Source organism: Homo sapiens, chromosome 18 (genome assembly GCF_000001405.40).
Source record: "Homo sapiens chromosome 18, GRCh38.p14 Primary Assembly".
NCBI lineage: Eukaryota > Metazoa > Chordata > Mammalia > Primates > Hominidae > Homo > Homo sapiens.
Genome location: NC_000018.10, coordinates 46,585,459 through 46,606,504, shown reverse-complemented (window position 1 = coordinate 46,606,504; position 21,046 = coordinate 46,585,459). Strand labels below are relative to the sequence as shown.

The following is a 21,046-nucleotide window of genomic DNA, read 5'->3' as shown; positions in this document are numbered from 1 at the left end:
CAGTTTTGACTGTGTTTGGACTGCAACCCATCATATAGGGTCTGGTGTGGAATTTTCCACTTTTGGTGTGTTGTCAGCACTCAAAAAGTTTTGGACTTTGGAGCATTTTGGATTTCGGTTTTCAGATTAGGGATGTTCAACCTGTGTGTGTGTGTGTGTGTGTATATATATACAGTATACTATTATACTATAAATAGTGCTGTGACAAACGTTTCATGCCTTATCTTTATGCACATCTGTGATTATTTCTTACGGTACATTCTCAGGAGTTGGTGAAAGAACAGGCAGAATTTTAAGAACTTTGATCTATTTGCTGCTGTATAGTTTTATTTTTCTTGATTCCCTTTCTTACTTAACTTAGTTATTTTTAAATCTCATCTGATTGCCTTTTCATTGTAGTCTTATCTGTCTTTAAAGATATTTACTCCTATTTCATAAAGACTAAATCTGCTTATATTCTTTTAAGCACATCAGTTGAATGGTGTGAGTTCTTTTGGTGGGTCCCACATTAGGTTCTTTCCAGAGTTCTGCCCCTCCTCTGATTCTTTAGAATGATCTTCTCTGTCTTTGATTCAAGAATTTGCAAGGTCTTAAGTTGGTGTATTCCCTTTACCCAACCTCAAATGAGGTGGGTCTTATTCAGACTTGGTATCTGACAATAGTCAAGGTGCCCCTGAAACATAGGATATGCTTATTAAATCTCCCATCTTCCTACTCCTCCTCTCTTCTTCCTCCTCCCACTTCTATTTTCATTCTTGGCTCCAGTTGGGTAATAACCGAACTCCCATCTCACATCCAGGGTTGATTGGAGTCTCTTAGTCCAGTTCTCAGATCCTGGATGGTACTGTCCTGGTATAGCTCTGCCCTGATGTGATGGTTTCTTTTCTTTTTCCTATTGCCTGAGTCTTTGATACCAGTTGGTTGCATTTTATGCAAGAGATGCATTCCTAAAAATCTATATACTTTTTATTTCTTTTATTTTTATTTTTTTGAGATGGAGTCTTGCACTATCGCCCAGACTGGAGTACAGTGGCACGATCCCGGCTCACTGCAAGCTCTACCTCCTGGGTTCACGCCATTCTCCTGCGTAGCTGAGACTATAGGTGCCCGCCACCACGCCTGGCCAATTTTTTTGTATTTTTAGTAGAGATGGGGTTTCACTATGTTAGCCAGGATGGTCTTGATCTCCTGACCTCGTGATCCTCCCGCCTCGGCCTCCCAAAGTGCTGGGATTACGGTGTGAGCCACCACGCCCAGCCAAAATCTTGAAACTTTGAAATTCATTTGAGACAGAATTTCCTGCAGGAATAATGTAAAGCAGAGGGTTGTGCACTTTGAACTTATATAGAGACAACCATGAAAGTGTGTTTTTGTTCTAATGCTTTTGTTTTTTACAGTATAGTCTTCAATATTTTACAAAGCTACCAGATGCTTGATTGGTCTTGGTAGCATTTTATCATCTTAATCCTGTTCTAAAGTGATCGAATTTTTAAAATAAATTTTTTTGTGTATATTTAAGGTATATAACATGATGTTATGAGATACATGTTGACAGTAAAAAGGTTATCCTCTGCCCATATTGTATTATGACTGGAGGACACATTCTAGCTATTAACAATTCTACTTATCCTAGAGCGAGTTTTCAGTTGGATCTTCTGGGCACATTTTGAGAGGGCCCCTCAGCTCTTTGGTGTATTCTAGAAGGCACACTTATCTCAGCCTCACTAACTTAGCTCGCATGGGAGTCCCTGAGGGAGGCATCATAGAGTCCATTAGCCTTACTGTTGGTGGCTGATGTTTTCTGACCTGATCACAAGATCCTAGGATTCACTGTGCCTGATGTGGGGCTTGCAGTTCCCCTTGCCTGGGCTCTGCTTCTCACCAATAAGGTCAGAATCCCAACCTTCAGCCTGTGAGGACAGTGATGGTATTGTCACAGTTTGCAAATCCAGGCTTCCAGTTCTTGTAACCAGTCTCACAAGGCTCATGCTGCCAAATTTTTTGCTTCAATTTAAAAAATGATCTGCAGCAGTGGAGGGAGCGGTGGCTCAGTAATTCAAGTCAGAAGGTAATCGCCAGTCATCCCTGTATGATTCTGAGCTTTACCAGGTATCCTGGACACAGTTGTGTCCTTGTGATAAGCTTTCCTTGGGCCACGAAACAGATATCAGTACATTCTTAAAGTAGACTCAAGTGATTGGAAGATTGGATTAGATCTCCAGGTGCACCCTCAACAACACTTATCTACATCCTTGTCCCCTCTTCTCCTTCCCAGATAGTCATTGAAGATATTGGGAACAAAAGAAAATATGACTTCCCCCTTAACCGCTGGCTGGCCTTGGACGAAGACGATGGCAAAATCCAAAGGGATATCTTAGTGGGCGGAGCTGAGACCACAGGTAGATTTGAAGAAAGGGGAGGCTCTTTTGGGTATTTCACTTTCTGCCTAAGGGTCGCTGTTGGCATCTGTGGGGCTGGAGGCCTGTGATCAAACAGGAGCCAGCTGGGTCTGCAGACAGCATTCCTCCTGCTCCTGAAACTGTTCTGTCCCACTGGGTTGCAGCCTGGGGCTCTGTTGTTGCCAGAGGACCTGGGGGATGCTGCTAAGCAGATACTAACTGCCCAGGGCAAAGGAAGGTATCCATAGGATGAAGCCAGAATGTGAACTTCTGACAAGCATGGATGTTTCCCAGGACATTGATCTGAACTCTTCCTGATATTGAGTGCTTAGTATATGCCAGGCCTTCTAGGTAGGTACCTGACCTACATGGTGTCCTTCAGTCCTCACAACCACCCTATAAAGTAGGAACTGTTATTGTTCCCATCACACAGATGAGGAAACTGAGGCAATGGAAGAGCCTTGTCCAAGGGCACACAGCTGGCAAGTGATAGATTCAGGATTTGGTCTGCTTCCTAAAGCCCTAACCTGTATGAATTCCACAGAAAACTTCCAACTCCCAGCATGGCAGTCATGGTCATGCATGTTCTAGAAAATCAACGTTGATATTGTGTACATCTGAGAATGTTCTCTGCAGCAGAACTCCCATGACTCACCATGGGAGAAAATCCATGTTCTGTAGTATAATGTACACATTTCTCCCCAATTTGGCTCCATTCATCCTACCCACAGAGTCTTCCCATACCCTCTCTCCCACTGCACATTCACACCTTCCATTCTTCCCTCCATCTTGCTCCCATGCCTTCCCTCTCCCCTCAACTCCCTGCTTGCCTTGCTCTTTCTCTCTCTCTATCCTCGGAACCTGCCTTCTCCTCATCCTGAAAAGTCTTTTCTCTTCTTTCTGCCTCTCGAATTCCTGTTTCCAGTCACTTCCTCTGAGCCCTCCCTGACCTTCTCTGGCCTGGGTAACTTCTCCCTTCTTTTGCTCCATGCTCCTTGGCAGACCTTTATTGCTGCTGTTCAGAAGCCTAAATGCTCCTCTGCTCCAGTCCTTTTCAACCTCAGCATTGCGGGCTGATCATTGTGAGGTGTGGCACAAGTCATCTACAGATGAAAAGTTTGCAGTTTACTTAAAAACATACTCGAATAGAATTAATATATACTGAATATGTGAATATTATATGTCTCCTAGTGGTAGAAGAAGAGCAGAAATGATAGCAGCTGGGCATTGCTTATATCCTAAACGATGAAAGTATATCTGATGTGGGAACACCATTTGTCCATGCATCTTAGAGAAATAAAGCTCGAGACCTATTTTTTTTTTCTAGAGCAATGACCATTCCTTTTTATTTATTTACTCCCAAAGGCCTGGAATCTAGTAAGCACTCAATAAATGCTGAACAAAAGAAAATGTAAGTTTAAGAATGAATAATACACCCATGTAGTTGCATGTATTATCACTCAAAGAAATTTGGGATTTTTATTTCTCTGAGGTTATGGGATAAGAGTGTGGGGTATGGTAGGGTGAGGGATGGGTAGGGGAATTAACAAGGCTTAAAGTGACAACCGCCTTAGACCCCAGGACAGAATTACAGAATGTAGGCCAGGCATGGTGTCTCATGCCTGTAATCTCAGCACTTTGGGAGTCTGAGGGGGGTGGATCACTTGAGGCCAGGGGTTCGAGACCAGTCTGGCCAACATGGTGAAAACCTGTCTCTACTAAAAATACAAAAATTAACCAGGTGTGGTGGCACATGTCTGTAATCCCAGCCACTCAGGAGGCTGAGACACGAGAATCGCTTGAGCCTGGGAAGTAGAGGTTGCAGTGAACTGAGATCACACCACTAGATTCCAGCCTGGGTGATAGAGTGAGACTCTGTCTCAAAAAAATAAAAAATAAATAAAATAAAAAAATCTAGGCCAGGCCAGTCCTTAGTAGAATTGCCTGTCCAAATGTTTGTCTTTGGTATTTTCTTTTACTTCGCCCAGTCCCAGAGTTTAATCTCCCTTTGCTAGTTCTTCCTCAGAATTCCATGTCCTCATATTGCCTCCTGATAGACCAGAACCTCAAATGGCCCAACCAACAATGTTCTCTCTCTCCCTCAATCCTCCTCACCCTACCACATCAGGCAGCAAAGGAGGACATTAATGTCCTCTATTAAAAGTTATGTTTTTAAGTTATCAGCAAAAGAGCAAGCGAAATGAATCAGATAGCCCTGAACGTAAATCTCCATTAATGGAGTTGACTATTATAATTAGATTAGACATAACAGAATTCATCTGGCAGCTATTAATAATGTACGCATGGTAATTATCATTAATAATAAGTACTATTCTTAGCCAACCCGAGTTCCTCCTTCTCTTTGTTAGTTTCCTCTAATCAGCACTGACAGCTTCCTGTAATAATACGTGCGGTTTATTCTCAAACTCAGATGCATTGGACACACAAACTCTGGAAAAGATGAAATGAGGTCGAGAGGGACATTAGGTGGCATCTGGAGGAGTAGGACATGATGGGGAAAGAGGATGTGTGGAGGAGGAGGGCTTTGGGGGTGTTGTAACCAGGAAGGGGAGGAGGGGGTGGGATATTATGATGCAGCTCACATTGAACACTCTCTTTCCTGTTGTTTCCACACCAGCTATTACGTATATTGTCACCGTCTTCACTGGGGATGTCCGGGGGGCTGGTACCAAATCCAAAATCTACTTGGTCATGTATGGGGCCAGAGGGAATAAGAACAGTGGGAAAATCTTCCTGGAGGGCGGCGTGTTTGACCGAGGCCGCACGGACATCTTCCACATCGAGCTGGCTGTCCTCCTTAGCCCCCTGAGTCGGGTCTCCGTCGGGCATGGCAATGTGGGTGTCAACAGAGGCTGGTTCTGTGAGAAGGTAAGGGATGCCCCCAGAGACAGCCTTCCCTGATTCAACCCCTCTCCTCTTTAACTTGCAAGTACAAACTTTAACCTGAATGCTACTTCTCTGAACTAGTTACAGAGTGCATGGGCAATCTCTTTCATTGGGCATTTTGGGTGGTTACGTGTCCGTCTATCTTGCCTCAAAAGTGGTCAGGAACAGGGGCTGTTCTGTGCAAGCGTCCAAGGGCCAAGCAGGACAGGTTACCCAGAGGCGCTCAGTTGGTGGTTATGATTATCCTGATTCCTGGTGTAGTGTTTCACCTCAGCTTATAAATCTTTCAATCAATAAGTATTTTAAAGTATATGTTTGTATTGTGGAATACTTATACTTTAAAGAATATATATTAATAACTGTAAGACATAAGGAATGTTAAAAAGCAAACCTCAATTTTGTCTATCACACAGCTTGAGAAATAGAACATTCGTGATGCTTTTAAACTCCTCTGTGTCCTTCCACAGTCATATAGTTCTCTTTCCCTCAAAGGGCACATACTATTATGAATTTTGTCTATGTATAAGCTTGTATTGTTTGTAACTGGCAATTTTTGTCCCTCCCTCCCTCCCTTCCTTCCTTCCTTCCTTCCTTTTTTTTTGGACAGAGTTTCACTTCTGTCACCCAGGCTGGAGTGCAATGGCACGATCTCAGCTCACTGCAACCTCCACCTCCCAGGTTCAAGTGATTCTCCTGCCTCAGCCTCCCAAGTAGCTGGGATTACAGGCATGCACCACCATGCCTGGCTAATTTTGTATTTTTAGTAGAGATGGGGTTTCACCATGTTGGCCAGGCTGGACTTGAACTCCTGACCTCAGGTGTTCTGCCTGCCTCGGCCTCCCAAAGTGCTGGGATTATAGGAGTGAGCCATCGCTCCTGGCCATAACTGTCAATTTTCACTCAACATTATGTTTTAGAGATTTGTCCAAATGGTAACAGAAGCTGTAGTTCATCCACTTCCCTGCTGCAAAGTATTCCATTGTATGAATGAGTTACAATTTATTTGTCCATTCTTCTGTCGATGGATATTTTGGAGTGATTTCTTGATTTTTACTACTATGAGCAATCCTGCCATGAAGTTCTTGTACATGTATCTTTGTGGAAGTGTGCAAGAGCTTCTCAGAATGAAAGTGCTAGGTCACAGGGTAAGTGAATCTTCAGCTTTATAGGATAACTATTATTTCCAAAGGATTCCAGGTTGTTTTCCAAAATAGTTGCACCATTTTACTCTCCTGTCAGCCATGTGTAAGAGATATTTTGTTTTATACATTCTTGTAAATGCTTGATATTGTCTGAATTTTTAATTTTCACCATTTTGGAGGTTGTAAAATGATCCTGTTGTGGTTTTAATTCTTATTTTTATGATTACTACCAAGGTTGAATGTGTTTTTATTTTTTTATTGGCCATTCATGTTTCTTTTTATGTAAAATGTCTGTTCATGTCTTTTACTGAGTTTCCTATTGACCAATCTATCTTTGGATTTATTTTTAGGAGTTTTAAAATTTAATCTGGATATTAATTCTTTGTTGATAATATATGTTCAAATATTTTCTCATAGTTTGTGATGTTCTTTGAGTAAGAGATTTAATTTAAAAGTATCTAGTTTATCAATCTTTTCCTTTATGACTAATGCATTTGGTATTAATGAAAGAAATCCACTTATCTCAGAGCTATGAAGACATTCTCCTATATCCTTTTCTAAAAATTGTTGTTTTAATTTTTCCATTTATATTTTTAAAATACTAGGAATTGAATTTTGTGAGGGAGAAATTCAATTTTATTTTTTTCCATGGAGATATGCAAATGTTCCAGCAACATTTATTGAAGGGCTTTTAAAACTTGACCAAGGTTAAGAATCACCTGGAATTCTTGATAAAAATAGATTCCTAGGCTCTAATTCAGACCTAATGAGTCAGAATTTCCAGGTAATCTGGATATTTAGCAAGTGGTTTAGATAATTCTTATCATTAAGAAAGTTTTGGAAGCACTGATTTACTAAATAGTAATTCTTTTCCCACTGTTCTGAAAAGACTTTTCTACCACACATAAAATTCACAAAATGCATGGCTTTGCCACTGAGTTTTCTAGTCTGTTCCATTTATTTAGTTTATTTCTGCACTAATATAACACTCACTGTCTTCATTTTTACGTTTATACTGTCTTAGTATCTGCTAGGGAAATTTGTTTACCTTGTTATTCTTCCTCAAGAATATTTTGACTATTCATAACCATTTACCCTTCCAAAGAAATCTGTATTTATTTATTTTGCCAAATCCCATGAAGAACAGTGTTGAACAGAATTCATTTGGACCTATAGATTCGTTTGAAAGAACTGACATCTTTACTATATTGACTTTCCCTATCTATGGATATGGTATACTTCTTAAAATTTATGTCTTCTTTAATAGTTTTCAATATAGTTTTATATTTTGTGATAAAGAAATTGCATGTCTGTTAGATATGTTTAAGAGACCTTATAATTTTTGTTACTATTATAAGTGGTACCTCTTTAAAAATTATATTTTCTAACAATTAGTTGCTGATATAGAAATAGAAGTATTTTCCGGACATTTAGTTTACATATGGCCATTTTGCTAAACTCTATTGTTAATTCTGATAATGTCTCAATAATTCTTTGTTTTTTTTCTGTAGGAAGTCAAATTGTAAATGATAACAGTTTTTTTTTTTAATTTTCAAAGCTTATAGTTCTTTCTTCTTTTTTGTTTATTTGACCACATGGCCTAAGACCTACAGTACAATGCTGAGTAGTAGGATTAATAGTAGATAACTTTATTTTGTTTCTGATACTAAAGGAGCTGCTTCTAATATTTTATTTGGTTGATTTTTTTGCAAGTTTATGGTAGACATTCTTAGATTAGATTTGTAAAATTCCCTTCTACTTTTATATTGTAAGGAGTTTTTATGATGAATTGGTGTTAAATTTTATCTAATGCTTTTCTGCACTTAATGAGATAGTTGTATGGTCTTTCTATTTTATTCATTAAGTTGGTGCACTAATATGAGTGCATTTTCAAATGGCAAACTAACTGCTTTTTTATAAGTCAAACTTGGTGATAATAGATTGTTTTACATGTTTTTAGAGTTATTAAAGTTTAATATAGAATTTTTCTGGCCGGGCGCAGTGGTTCAATCTTGTAATCCCAGCACTTTTGGAGGCCGAGGCGGGCAGATCACGAGGTCAGGAGATCGAGACCAGCCTGGCTAACATGGTGAAACCCCATCTCTACTAAAAAAAAAAAAAAAAAAATGCAAAAAATTAGCCAGGTGTGGCGGCGGGCGCCTGTCCCAGCTACTTGGGAAGCTGAGACAGGAGAACAGCATGAACTCTGGAGGTGGAGCTTGCAGTGCGCTGAGATTGCGCCACTGCGCTCCAGCCTGGGCAACAGAGCGAGACTCCATCTCAAAAAAAAAAAAAAAGAATTTTTCTATGTTCATGAGTAGCATTGGCCCCTTATTCCTTTCTTGTACAGTTGTCGATTGGTTATGATTTTAGAGTGAAATGAGAAGTATGTCCTTTCCTAAAAGAGACTGTAAAAAATTGCAGTGATGTTTCCCAAATGTTTGGTTGCAGTCTCCTGCAAAATTGTACAGGTAGGGGTGTGTGTGTGTGTGTGTGTGTGTGTGTGTGTGTGCGCATGTACCACTATTGAAATATATACCACTAAGGTGGTAGATATTTCTTATTGTAGAACAATTTTTGCTTTATATAGTTTGAGGCTATGTTACTAAGCACAGAATTATTATAGCCTCCTAGCGAGTTCAATCTTTATCATTATCCAATCTGATACTATTTATCTCTGAACTGGCAAATTTAGTCTGCTTATATTTATTGTAATTACTGATATATCTGTTCTGCTTTTACTGTTTCTTTTTTCTTCTTTTAAAATTATTTTGGATTGACTGTTTTTCCCTATTTTTTCCTTTTATAGTGATTTTACTGTACATACTTAATATGGGAAACCCTAAATGTAATTGATATCTTTACTCTTTTTTGGCAAGTGCAAGGACCTTAGAAATCTCTAATAGTAATAGTTCTGCATGCTATTTTTTTGCCTAGTATTTTAGCTCCATTTTAAATTATTTTAAAACATACACATTAGATATCATTGTTTTATAGAGTTGCTTGTTCAGATTTACCTACAAGTTTCCCAGTTTGTTTGCTTGTCACTTCTTCTTGCATCTAAGACCTTATTTCTGGTGTCAATTTTCTTCTTCCTGAAGATACCCTTTAGAAGTTTCTTTGATAAAGGTCTATTGTTGGTAAACTCTGATTTTGTTCATTTGAAAAATGTGTTTTATATCACTGTCATTCTTGAAAAATAATTTTACGGTACAGAATTCTATATTGAGTTTTCCTCCCCAGTATCTTCTGGCTTCTGTTCGTCTAATTGCCACTATCTGTTTTTTCTATCCAGATGCTCTTAAGATCTTGTTTTTGGTATTCTCCTGCTTCTCCTCAATATGTCTACATGTGCATTTATTACTATTTGTTCTGACTATGACCAAGCTTATGGTAACTATTTCTTAGGTAAAACTATTATTATTTTCTGTCTGGAGCAAAGACAAAAAAGGTAGGCTTCTCTTTGCAGATTTTTCCCTGTCTACCTTTTGTCTAAAGGAGCAGTCCTTCAAATATTTCTGCTTATTCAGTGTTTCCAGTTTGGAATCTCCATTTTGTAAAGCCCATGGCCTAGTTTCCTGCATCCTCAAGTGGCTATTAGTTTCCTGGTCTCTGAGTGCCAGAGATTGTCTTTTGCTTCAGGGTAGCACCAACTTTAGCATTCACATTTGCCTACTCTCTGGGTTTCTGCTTACTCTGAATTTTGCTGGTTCTTATGGCTTCTCTGTAACCCCTTGGCAGCTCAGCAATGTATGTAAAGTGATACTTCCTGTGGTTTATGTAACATATGGCTATTTTGTGGTGATGAGAGGCTTTTCAGGCTACCTAGTTCTGGACTACCTAGTCCAGAAGCAAACATTTTTAATATATGAATTACACTAAATTATTTTTAAAGATAATGACAAAATAGTTTTTAAATAACAGAATATGATACCCTCAGGATAGTTATGTTTAACAAAACAATAAAACAAACAAAATCCTGAGATAAAAACCACAAGCTCTAGTAACAATACTATATTTTGTTGCTTACCTAACCTTTAACCTTCTAGAACCAGAACTTTTATCATAAATTTTTAAGCGCTTACTATATGTTTAGAACCATGTTCAGGGAACCCATGGGGTGAGAAAACACACAACCTCAGACTTTTAGGATTTTACTACTTCTTAAAAAAACAAAACTAACCAATACACAGTTAACAATGAGAGAACAATTCAAGAGTAAACGAGGAAACATCTGCAGGATTTGTTGAGAGGAAAGAAAGACTTGTAAATAAATTGTTGGTGATTATACCCTCCTGTGCCCTCAACTTGTCGAGGATGCTCTCCAACTTTGCCTATGTATAGGTCCACTTCTAAATATGTGGTCACATGGAATCTTCAGCATAAAAAATGGAGTGCAACAATGGATCCCAGTGAACCTCAGCCACAAATAGAAATTCTGAGGTTCTTCCTGATGAGTAGAAAAGATCCCAAACTGACAATTAGTGTCAGGAATACTTATATTCCTTGTTCTGCCACTAACTAAAGGTGCTAACTTGGGCACTTTATTCTTCTTTCTAGACCTCAGGTTTCCTATCTATTGAATGCAGGTGGGGTGAACTATATTAATTGCCAGTATATTTGTGTCAGAGGGCTAAATGTTTGAGGGGGCTACTGCCTGTGGTCCTGAGCCATCATTTATCTCTAGGGAGGAGCATTTCTCTGGAAGTTTGAAGGGGTACATACTCCCCTCCCACCATCTCTTAGCATCCTTCATCTGGTGCTTCTTATAAGTTAAGGTTCATCACAATGGTCAATAGTGAGTATGAGGTGAGTATTACCTGGGAATATCTAAGGGCAAGAATTCAAGTTAAGGAAGTTACAGTCAATTTTTGTCACTATGAACAGTAGACAACAAATACCCAGTAAGACAATGGTTGGTCAAAACCTTGACTGATGGGAGGGTCAGATTAGTTTTCAAGTTGAAAAGATTAGTTTTCAAGTTAAGAAAGTAAAGCTTAGAAACCAGTAATGTGAGAGTCAAAATTTCTTTGCTGATAGAGGATTCTGTAGTGTGCCAGGAGAAATCCTTTCAACATTTATAATGTGAGTGTTCAAAATCCATGGGTTCAGAACTGGGTAGAGATAGAGAAGGTATAAGAGAGAAGGTTGAATGAGGATCAAGCCTAAAAGAGAGAAGTTGGTTTTTATATTACATTCCAGATATTAATTAGCTTGCATGGGACTTACCTTTTTCCTACAAGATAATTATAGGGAATTAACCTAGTAGTCTAGTTCATTTGGTTCAGATTAACTGAGAATTTATGATGTGCTTAAAGAAATACGGTATTCAAAGAGAGTGTTGTGTATAGAGGAAAAGTTTGAGATTTGAATAGCTAATTGGAAGATGGGTGATACCTACTTTGGAAGACTCCTTGGAGGTTGCATTTCTTGATTTAAGATTTAATGAGATAGGCAACAGAAAAGGTGCCATTCCTTGAGAGTCCTAATACAGATGTCTCTAAATGTGGGGCTGGGAGCCTGCTGAACATCACGAAGAGGACCCTACTGGAGACTCAATGCCGGAGACACTGTGCTCCACTCTCCCCAGGTGGTGATTCTGTGCCCCTTCACTGGTATCCAGCAGACCTTCCCTTGTAGCAACTGGCTGGATGAGAAGAAAGCGGATGGGTTGATTGAGAGGCAGCTCTATGAGATGGTGTCTCTCAGGAAGAAGCGGCTGAAAAGTAAGTGAGAGAGACCCAGAACCTGGAGGCCTCTCAGCCAGGGTCAGCAGAGGCCAGAATGTCAGACCACTAGGCAAAAGCTATGAGGGCAGTCCACTCCTGCTTCTCAAGTCTCCTCCAGAAAGGAAGGAAAAAGCTCCCCCAACCCCGCCAAGCAGCTCCACTCTCCAAAGTACAGGCCATATAGAGTCACACCCCTGGCACCAAGGCTGACTCCAGTGTCACCAAATGGAATAAGCTGCTGTGATGGGCTAGGTGTTAACCTGAATCGTTCACTACAGTGCACTCTGAAAGTACTGGACATAGGGTGGGTGGAGTCAACTCGTTCCCCGATTTAAAACATACGAATACACTTTAGCCATTAAAAAGAACATTATAGCACCTTATTTTTAATAGTAAGGAATCCTTAGCTTTCTAAATTTGGCTATAATGGGTTTCTGAGAGTGGGACACACCTGTGTATACCCCGCCCTTCAGTCCTGATCATTTTGGATTTTTCCTTCTTCCCCATGGTAATATGAAAATCTCTTCACTTCCTGAAGTTTATGGTGCAACTTGATCTGTCTTACAGAATTCCCTTGGTCCCTGTGGGTCTGGACAACCGACCTAAAGAAAGCTGGTACCAACTCTCCCATCTTCATCCAGATTTATGGGCAGAAGGGGCGGACAGATGAGATTCTCCTGAATCCCAACAACAAGTGGTTCAAACCCGGCATAATCGAGAAGTTTAGGGTAGGAGAGGATTGTGATGGATGGGAGGGAGAAAGGAGGAAGGGATGTAGGGCATTCGTCCTGGGGATTCTGGTTCTCTAAGCCAGGTTTTGGACCAAGTTTGAAGACAAAAATGTACGATGGAGATTTTAGGTCCCTGCAAAGGGAGACAAATTTGATGATTTGTAAGCAATGTATTGAATGGGGTACAATTTCTATCTGGCCCATTCATCTGAATCAAACAGTCCAGAACCAAGGCTGGGCAAAGAAGTTAGTATGGAATGGCTTAAACTATCCAGGAGTTGGGGAATCATTGCAGAACAGAGACCCTGAGAACACTTAGTGTCAGACTGCCCAATATGGACTGATTTAGAGAGTAAGGATCAAATTTAATCAAAAGTATGAATTTTAGAACTTTTTTTAAAATTCAGCTTTAAAACTTTCCATTATGCATAAAACTAGAGCAAAGATTTTTTCCCCCAATGGAAGTGCTATTTCAACCTTTAGGTAGGAATAATTTGTAATTTGAGGCTCTCCTCTCAGCACCCCATTGGTACCTCTGTTACACCACTCAGTTCATTGCTCTTTATATATTTATCTTTTCTGCTAGACTATGAGCCCCTAGAGAAAGGGCATGACTGCTTGTTGATCTTTTTGTCTGTTTCACTGCCCAGTAGAGTCCTGGGGCTGTGGGCCTGTGCTAATTTGCAGGGCTGCCCTATAGATTTTGTTACTGGAAGTTTATTGCTTGGAGGATCTTCTTTAGTCTGAATCCCACTGTGGGGCCGTTATTTTTGTTCAGTTTCACCGGCCCAGACTGAACCCTTGCCCTCTGTGGCTGTCTTGCCCTCACGTGCTCCTGGTTACAAGGGTCATGAGAAGATAAAATATGTGAGGGTGGCTTGATTGAAGCAAACCCATCCTCACTGCTGAAGAAAGAGCCCAAAGCAGGTACCCTCCTGAGAGTGGGTCAGCTATGAGAATAAACACATTTCTTCAGTTATGCCCACTCAAATGTTTTTATTTCTCACCATAGATTGAGCTCCCGGATCTTGGCAGGTTTTATAAGATTCGAGTATGGCATGATAAAAGGAGTTCTGGTTCTGGATGGCATTTAGAAAGGGTGAGATGCACCATCTTGGGGTTTGGGAGGTTGTTGGGAAAGGAACAAGGATGGTCCCTTTTCAATGACCCTGTCACATAAATTTGCCTCTGTATTTATTGTGAATAGGGACTGAAAAGGGTTATGGTGAGACCTGAATTTGGATACAGGCCACAGGGACTTCCTAATGGGGAGAGACTTCCGAAGTAGATTAAGAAAACGCTCAGGTGTTTGGGGGGCTTGCATTCTGCCCTAGTCATCTGGTTGCTAGGCAAGTGTGGGTATCCAGGAAACCAGGAACAAATACTAATCCGGCCCTCTGCCTGCCATAAGGATTATCTCCAGGAAATAGCCTTGGCTTCTCTGCAATGAGATAGCAGAATGGGGACTGCAGGGCATCGGTGAACATCCCTGGTGCACCAACTTGCTCACCCCAGAACTTCATTCCAGATGACCCTGATGAACACTCTGAACAAAGACAAGTACAACTTCAATTGCAACCGCTGGCTGGATGCCAATGAGGATGACAATGAGATAGTGAGGGAAATGACTGCAGAAGGCCCAACAGTGCGCAGGATCATGGGCAGTAAGTACTGACAGGCTCTCCATCCTGGGAGGCAGTGGAACTCCTGCTTGGTGTCCCGATGGGCCTGACCTATGAGCTGAGAGTCTTGTCTGCTTTGCATCTTCAGGCCCCTTAGAGTGCCAGAGTGGATTTGGAAGGTCCCTGCCTCAAGACTGGCTTGGAAAAGCCATCTCCAAGTCATGATGCCGGAGCTCTACCATGATTGGTGTGGTGGGGAGGGAGGGAAGATGTATGGGTCTTCAGGTTGGCTCTGAGGGGATGAGAAGCATCTGCCCTGAGCAATAGTTCTCCAGAGCCTCCTTGAAAGGAAATATCCTCTTGCTCCCCTCAAATTGTGCATGAAATGTTCCCCAAAAGAAAAGCTAGATCTGGGATCCTGTAGCCCCAGTTGGCTGCTACCTAATAAGTATTCTATCTCTAATTAAGGATAGCAGGAGAAGGACTAAGCTTTAAATGTGGAATCCAGGAGCCACATTCAAATAGCCAAAGGGAAGAAGTCATTTTGCCTCTAGGTTATAGAAGCACGGTACTGGTAAATACAGAGCACATGCCCTGTCCTTTTCACATGGCAGACATTACTAAGTGATCAAAACATTCTCTCCCATGAGTCTGAAATGAGCTTTGTAGCCCTCAATAAAGAATTCCAAACAGACATTAACAATTGATCAGAAATGGCACTTAAGATAACCCATTTGCTATCCTTGTGGCAGTCCTTAAATTTTAAGCAGGAAAATAGTATTGCAACATTACAAAAAGGTAAAAATATATAAAAACAATGTCACCCATAGTTCCAGTAGCCCTTCTAAATATCTCCGTAATCTCATTTCACAGGTGATTGTGTGATATTTATAAACACTGCATTTGCACACCCAGTAGAAGTTCTGTATATATTTGTTGAAACAGTTTGATCAGAGTTAAATACTCATAAACATAGAAACCTCAAACAGCAAGTATCTAAAAAGAGATCATTCTGTTAGTTTAATTAGGCAATGCTTGTAATTAGCATCATGTTTCTTTTATTTTATGGTTCTTCTTCATTCTTAAGAAGAATGAAGAATATTTGTGTAGAATATTTGTGTGCAAAGGCCCTTAAAATAGCCTGATGCAGATAAGGAGCTGAGGACGTTCTTGCCATGGTTACACAGTTAGTTAGAGACAGAGTTAAATCTAGAATAAGGTCTCTTGCTTCCTGGTTCAGTGGCTATACCAAATCATCACCCTGCCTTTTTGCATTCGGTAATAACTGCCTTGGGAACAAGGCAATCATCTATCTAAATATGATAACATATAACCCATTCCCAAAATTGGGACTTAATATAATATTAAAGGTAATGGCAAAAATTGCAATTACTTTTGCACTAACCTGATATGTAGTCCACCAAGGCAGAAATACACCTGTTCTTACCTGATCTGTCCACTTTGTGCGCCAGAATTGAGCCTGCAGGTATAAAGAACTGGGGAGAAGTCTTGGGCCGTAACTGCTTTTGAAACCCTTTTAACTAACTCTCACGATTTTAGATTCTCGGTCTCTATTTCTACATTATCTGGACGGTCACTCTTGAGCCTTTTGGTAGGATTCCTTCTTGAATTTTGTGACTGACAGCTCTGATGAATCCTTTCCGGTCTGCTAAGTCAGCGATTCTCAAACCTCAGCATGCATTATCCCCAGGAGGGCTTGTTAAAACACGGATTCCTGGGCTCCACTTGCAGAGTTTCTAATTCAGTTAGTCTGGAATGGGACTCAAGGATCTGCTTGCCTAACAAATTTACAGGTAATATCTATGCTGCTGTTGGGGAACCACACTTTGAGAACCACTGTGTTAATGCATTTGCCACTTTTCTAGCTGCTCTCCAGCTTCCAAAATTGTGTTGTTCTCTAAACTTGTCGCCTTCCCCTAGTCTTGTTGGTGAAAACTTTTTTGTTTAGTTAAATTTTTAAAGCAACCTGTAGATTGCCATTTTGATAAGGTTTTCTAGAGAGAAATCTATTTTAATTTGTAATGTCCAGAATGTTCTTTACTTCCACCCCCTCTTTGCCTTGAGTGAAGCATGACTTTCCCCTAAGAACCTTATTTTCCCTCCTCATCAACTGAGGAGGGATTAGGCCCCAACCATATGACCTCCTTTTACTTTACTCCTTTAAAGGCCCTGTCTACAAATACATTCTGAGTTATTGGGGAGTTAGGACTTCAGTATATAAATTTGGGGGTATGGGCACAATTCAGCTTATAACAGACAACATCTCCTAAAGTACGGTCAAGGGCCCATCTATATCAAAACTACCTGAAGTGTTTATTGAAATACAGATTCCTAGGCCCACCACCAGCTATGCTGATTAGAGTCTTTGAGGGCTATTCCTGGTAATATGCATTTTGTCAAGCATGCCAAGTAATTTGTATGCATACTAAGCCTTAAGAGCCTTTGTCTACTTCTTTCAGTGTCCACTCACCTGCATCCTGGTGCTCACCTGTGATGGGTACTACAGGACTGAACGAAGGGGGACGGACAAGAAATGAAAACAAAAGAATCTGTTTTAAAGAAGGGGCCAGGGGGCTCCTTGCTTCTGTCAAGCAAGGGCCTTGACCTTTCACAGCCCTTCGTATTTATTGGGTAGAAAGAGCAGGGAGGAGGAGGTAACAATTGGTCAGCTGATGGATTGATCACAGGTTCGCATTATTGCTAACAGGCTTCAGATGTACCTAATCACAAGAAACACTGCTCCTGGGGCGTGACTGCCCTCAGCATTCCTTCCGGGTAGCAGACACACTTTGTCAGTTTGCCAACAACCTGCATTCATGAGAACAGTTTGCTGTTTCCTCATATAGCCTCCAGTGGTATACTGAGTTGATCACGACCCTCATTCTTTCAGCCTCCAACACTCACCCACTTTGTTGGTCCATGCCCACCCCACTTAGCCAGCCCTTCCCTGCCACTTAATTTGGGATCATCCCGTGAAGCTGCCCCTTCTTTGAACCCATGCCCAACCCTCTGACTCAAGCCCCTGCCCTCCCAGCACTGTTGTGACCTTGGTACACTTCACCTCACCCTTGACCTCCTGTCACTTCTTCCTCCCCACATTTTTCCTGGTCTGTCAGGGGCTGACGTGGATGGGTGGAGGATGGAACGGAGAGACAAACCTACAATCAGACCTCCAGTGGGGAGGAAAAGAGGTTCTGAAATCGGACAGAGAGAGGACACCAGAGAGGAGAAGATAAATTTAAGAAATATTTTGAAGGTGGAACTGGCAGGTCTTGAAGTGTGAATGCTGTGGAAACACAGTGGTGAGATAAGCTTCCTGTCCAGAAAGTTGGGACAAATTTTGCAGATGAAGTGACATTTGAGCTAGGTCTTCTATGTGGAGGGATTTGACAGACAAGGAGAGACCATGTCAGGAGGTGGAGGAGATGGCAAGGAAGAGCATCTCTACAGGTTACATGTATAAAATGTGCTCGTACACATTTTTAACAGTGTACAATTGTGGGGCTATCCTAGCTGGTGTTTTTTTGTTGTCTTCTGTGATGCTATTAAAAAATCATTTCAAGGAGAAAAATAATTCTGGTGATAGTATGGATATGGATAGTATGGATTGAAGGGCTGTCTGTTGTGGCTATAAGGCAGTTTGATGTCTTCCGGGGGTCCCTGGCTATATTTCAGAGCCCAAACAAACTTGAATTTCTTTCTCTCAACTGCTCTTTATGGCCCACAAACATTTATCTTATGCTTGGAACACCCCTATGTCCTCACTCACCTCTACAAGTACTCATATCTCCTTTTCTGGTTGGAATGTTTTCTAACAATAAATAGAGCTGGTGACAATGCTTCGTTTTCCCAGCTGGTACCAGTGTGAAATGTATAATGTGTAAAGACGTCCTGGAAATCCCTTAAGAGGAGAGTCTTAGACTCACGTAAAATGAGTAAATACCAATTTAAAATAATTTCTCTGAGTTTGAAGTTGTGTGTCTCTGGTTTACTTACAAATTAAGGGCCAGCCAAATAAGCAATTAATGCCATGTCTGAGAGCCAAGAGGCTTTTGGGAGTGATTGTTCTGATTAACACAGACTGGGAGATATGGACAATACACATGCCAGCTCACAATTTATTTCCACCTTGGCTGTCCCTCAGGAGCTACATGACAGTAAAATAAATGAGATCCGTGTTCTCCACTGTACTTCCAAGAGAAGTGATTACACACCACTGATGAGTGGGCAAGAGGCCACTGGACTCAAGTGCAGAAAATCGTAGCTTCTCGTTAATCAGAGCTGTAATTTTAAAATTAAAGTAAAGAGGCTCTGTACTTACCCATCTCTTTAAAGTCTTTCACTACTGGTATCTAACAATATAACTATTTTAAATTGTCCACAGACTTCTTGCCAGGAAGGAGCTCGGGACATCCATGGCTGGGGTGTTTCAGAGGGGCTCCTAGAGAGAATCAAGACCCTTGAGAACTTCCAACCAAAGGGACCTCAGAGCTCAGAACCAAAGGGATGGGAATTCCCAGGCAAAAGGATTTCTAAATTCCCTTATCATTTTGCTTCTGGGAATTGCCTGAAAGTTACAGCTAAAAAAGCAGAACTGGCCTTCATCATAATTAAGAGTGAAGCCAGGCTGGTGTTGAGAGCTTTCCTTCCCTGCTGTGTCATGTTTCCACCTTCAGTCCTCAGCTGTTCTTTCCTCTCACTGTTGATACGTTGGACCATTCAGAGCTTCACACAAAAGAACCAACTTCATTTATACAAAGGCTGAAGATTGAAAGCATTTAGTATTTGAATTTTAAACGAGTTGATTAGAGAAGACAATGATGGTTAAATTTCAGGTGCTGTGGCCCTATGAGGAGACAATATTGGTAGGCAGGAGATTTCTCCTCAATCTTAACTCATGGTTTAAGTGCCTACCTATACCAGCTTTGCTCAAGGCAGGCCTCTATGTACAATCAGTCGTTCTTTGCCTGTTCTTCTAACAAGTGCTTTTGCCACAGACACTCTATCTTTGTGTACTCATATGTTTCATGGTCAAATTATTTTTTCAGCTGTCTGCATATCTCCAAATAAAATGGTCATATTACTGAAAAAATAATTTGTACACTGAATTCACCTTCTTGGTGATTTGTCTCATTCCAGGTATACTTTGTCTTCATTTTAGATGGACTATCAATGAATCATGTCCATTTTTAAAAACAACAGCTATGGCGGGACGCAGTGGCTCATGCCTGTAATCCTAGCACTTTGGGAGTCCAAGATGGGTGGATCATCTGAGGTCAGGAGTTCGAGACCAGCTTGGCCTACATGGTGAAACCCCATCTCTACTAAAAATACAAAAAAATTAGCCAGGCATGGTCGCAGGTACCTGTAATCCCAGTTACTCGGGAGGCTGAGGCAAGAGAATTGCTTGAACCCAGGAGGCGGAGATTGCAGTGAGCGGAGATCGCGCCATTGCACTCCAGCCTGGGCAACAAGAACAAAATTCCTTCTCAGAAACAAACAAACAAAACAAACAAAAAAAACAACAGCTATATTAAGATATGATTCATGTGCCATACAATTTACCCATTTAAAGTGTACAAGTCAATGGCTTTTAGTATATTAATAAAATCGTGCATCCATCACCACTATCAAATTCCAGAACACTTTCATCTCCCCCAAAAAGAAAACCCATACCCGTTAGCAGTCATTCCCATTTCCCCACTTTACCCCTCTGCCTCTGACAACCACTAATCTACTTTTTGTCTCCACAGATTGGCCTAATCTGGATATTTCATATATAGAGTCATACAATATGTGACCTTTTTAAATTTAGTTTATTTCAATTAACATAATGTTTTCAAGATTCATCCATATTGTAGCATTATCAGTACTCCGTTCTTTTTATTGCTGAATAATATAGTCCATTGTATCGATGTACCAAATTCAACTGTTAAAGAGCATTTATGTTGTTTCTACTTTTTGGTTATGTAAATAATGCTGCCATAAACATCCATGTACAAGTTTTTATGCAGACATATTTTCAGTTCTCTTGAGCATATACCTAAGAGTGAATTTGCTGGGTCATTTGGTAGCTCTTTGGTTCACTTTTTGAGAAACTGCCAAACTATCAAAATAGCTGTACCATTTTAAATTCTTATTAGTAATGTGTGAGAGTTCCAATTTTTCTACATCCTTGTCAACACTTGTTCTTCTCCTTGATTATTCATTCTCAGGGTTGTTTTGGCTATTCTGGGTCCCTTGCAGTTCTATATGAATTTTAGAATCAGCTTGTCAATTTCTACAAATAAGTCAGCTGAGTTCTGTTAGGGGCTACATTGAATCTATAGACCAGTTTGGGGAGTATTGCCATCTTAATAATGTTAGGTCTTCCAATTCATGAACATGAGATGTTTTTCCATTTATTTAGATCTCTATTTTCTTTCAAAAATATTTTGTGGTTTCCAGAGTGTATGTTTTTCACTTGTTTTCTTAAATTTACTTCTAAATATTTTA

At 40.5% G+C, this 21,046-nt stretch overlaps 1 protein-coding gene across 10 annotated transcripts in view; it reads left to right on the top strand.

The window, feature by feature from the left end:
* The window catches only part of LOXHD1 (lipoxygenase homology PLAT domains 1), a 180,260-nt gene that overhangs the window by 50,716 nt on the left and 108,498 nt on the right, over positions 1-21,046 (top strand). For 6 of the 10 annotated variants that reach the window (XM_047437290.1, XM_047437291.1, XM_047437292.1 and 3 more), the window contains exons 1-5: positions 4,842-5,288; positions 12,039-12,174; positions 12,745-12,905; positions 13,921-14,007; positions 14,437-14,572. In XM_047437290.1, coding sequence (XP_047293246.1) covers positions 4,989-5,288; positions 12,039-12,174; positions 12,745-12,905; positions 13,921-14,007; positions 14,437-14,572 — 820 coding nt within the window. In that variant the 5' untranslated portion in view covers positions 4,842-4,988. Of the gene's footprint in view, positions 1-2,275; positions 2,400-4,841; positions 5,289-12,038; positions 12,175-12,744; positions 12,906-13,920; positions 14,008-14,436; positions 14,573-21,046 lie in introns of those variants that run through there. The other 4 variants (NM_144612.7, NM_001384474.1, XM_047437289.1 and 1 more) reach the window with 3 other exon arrangements.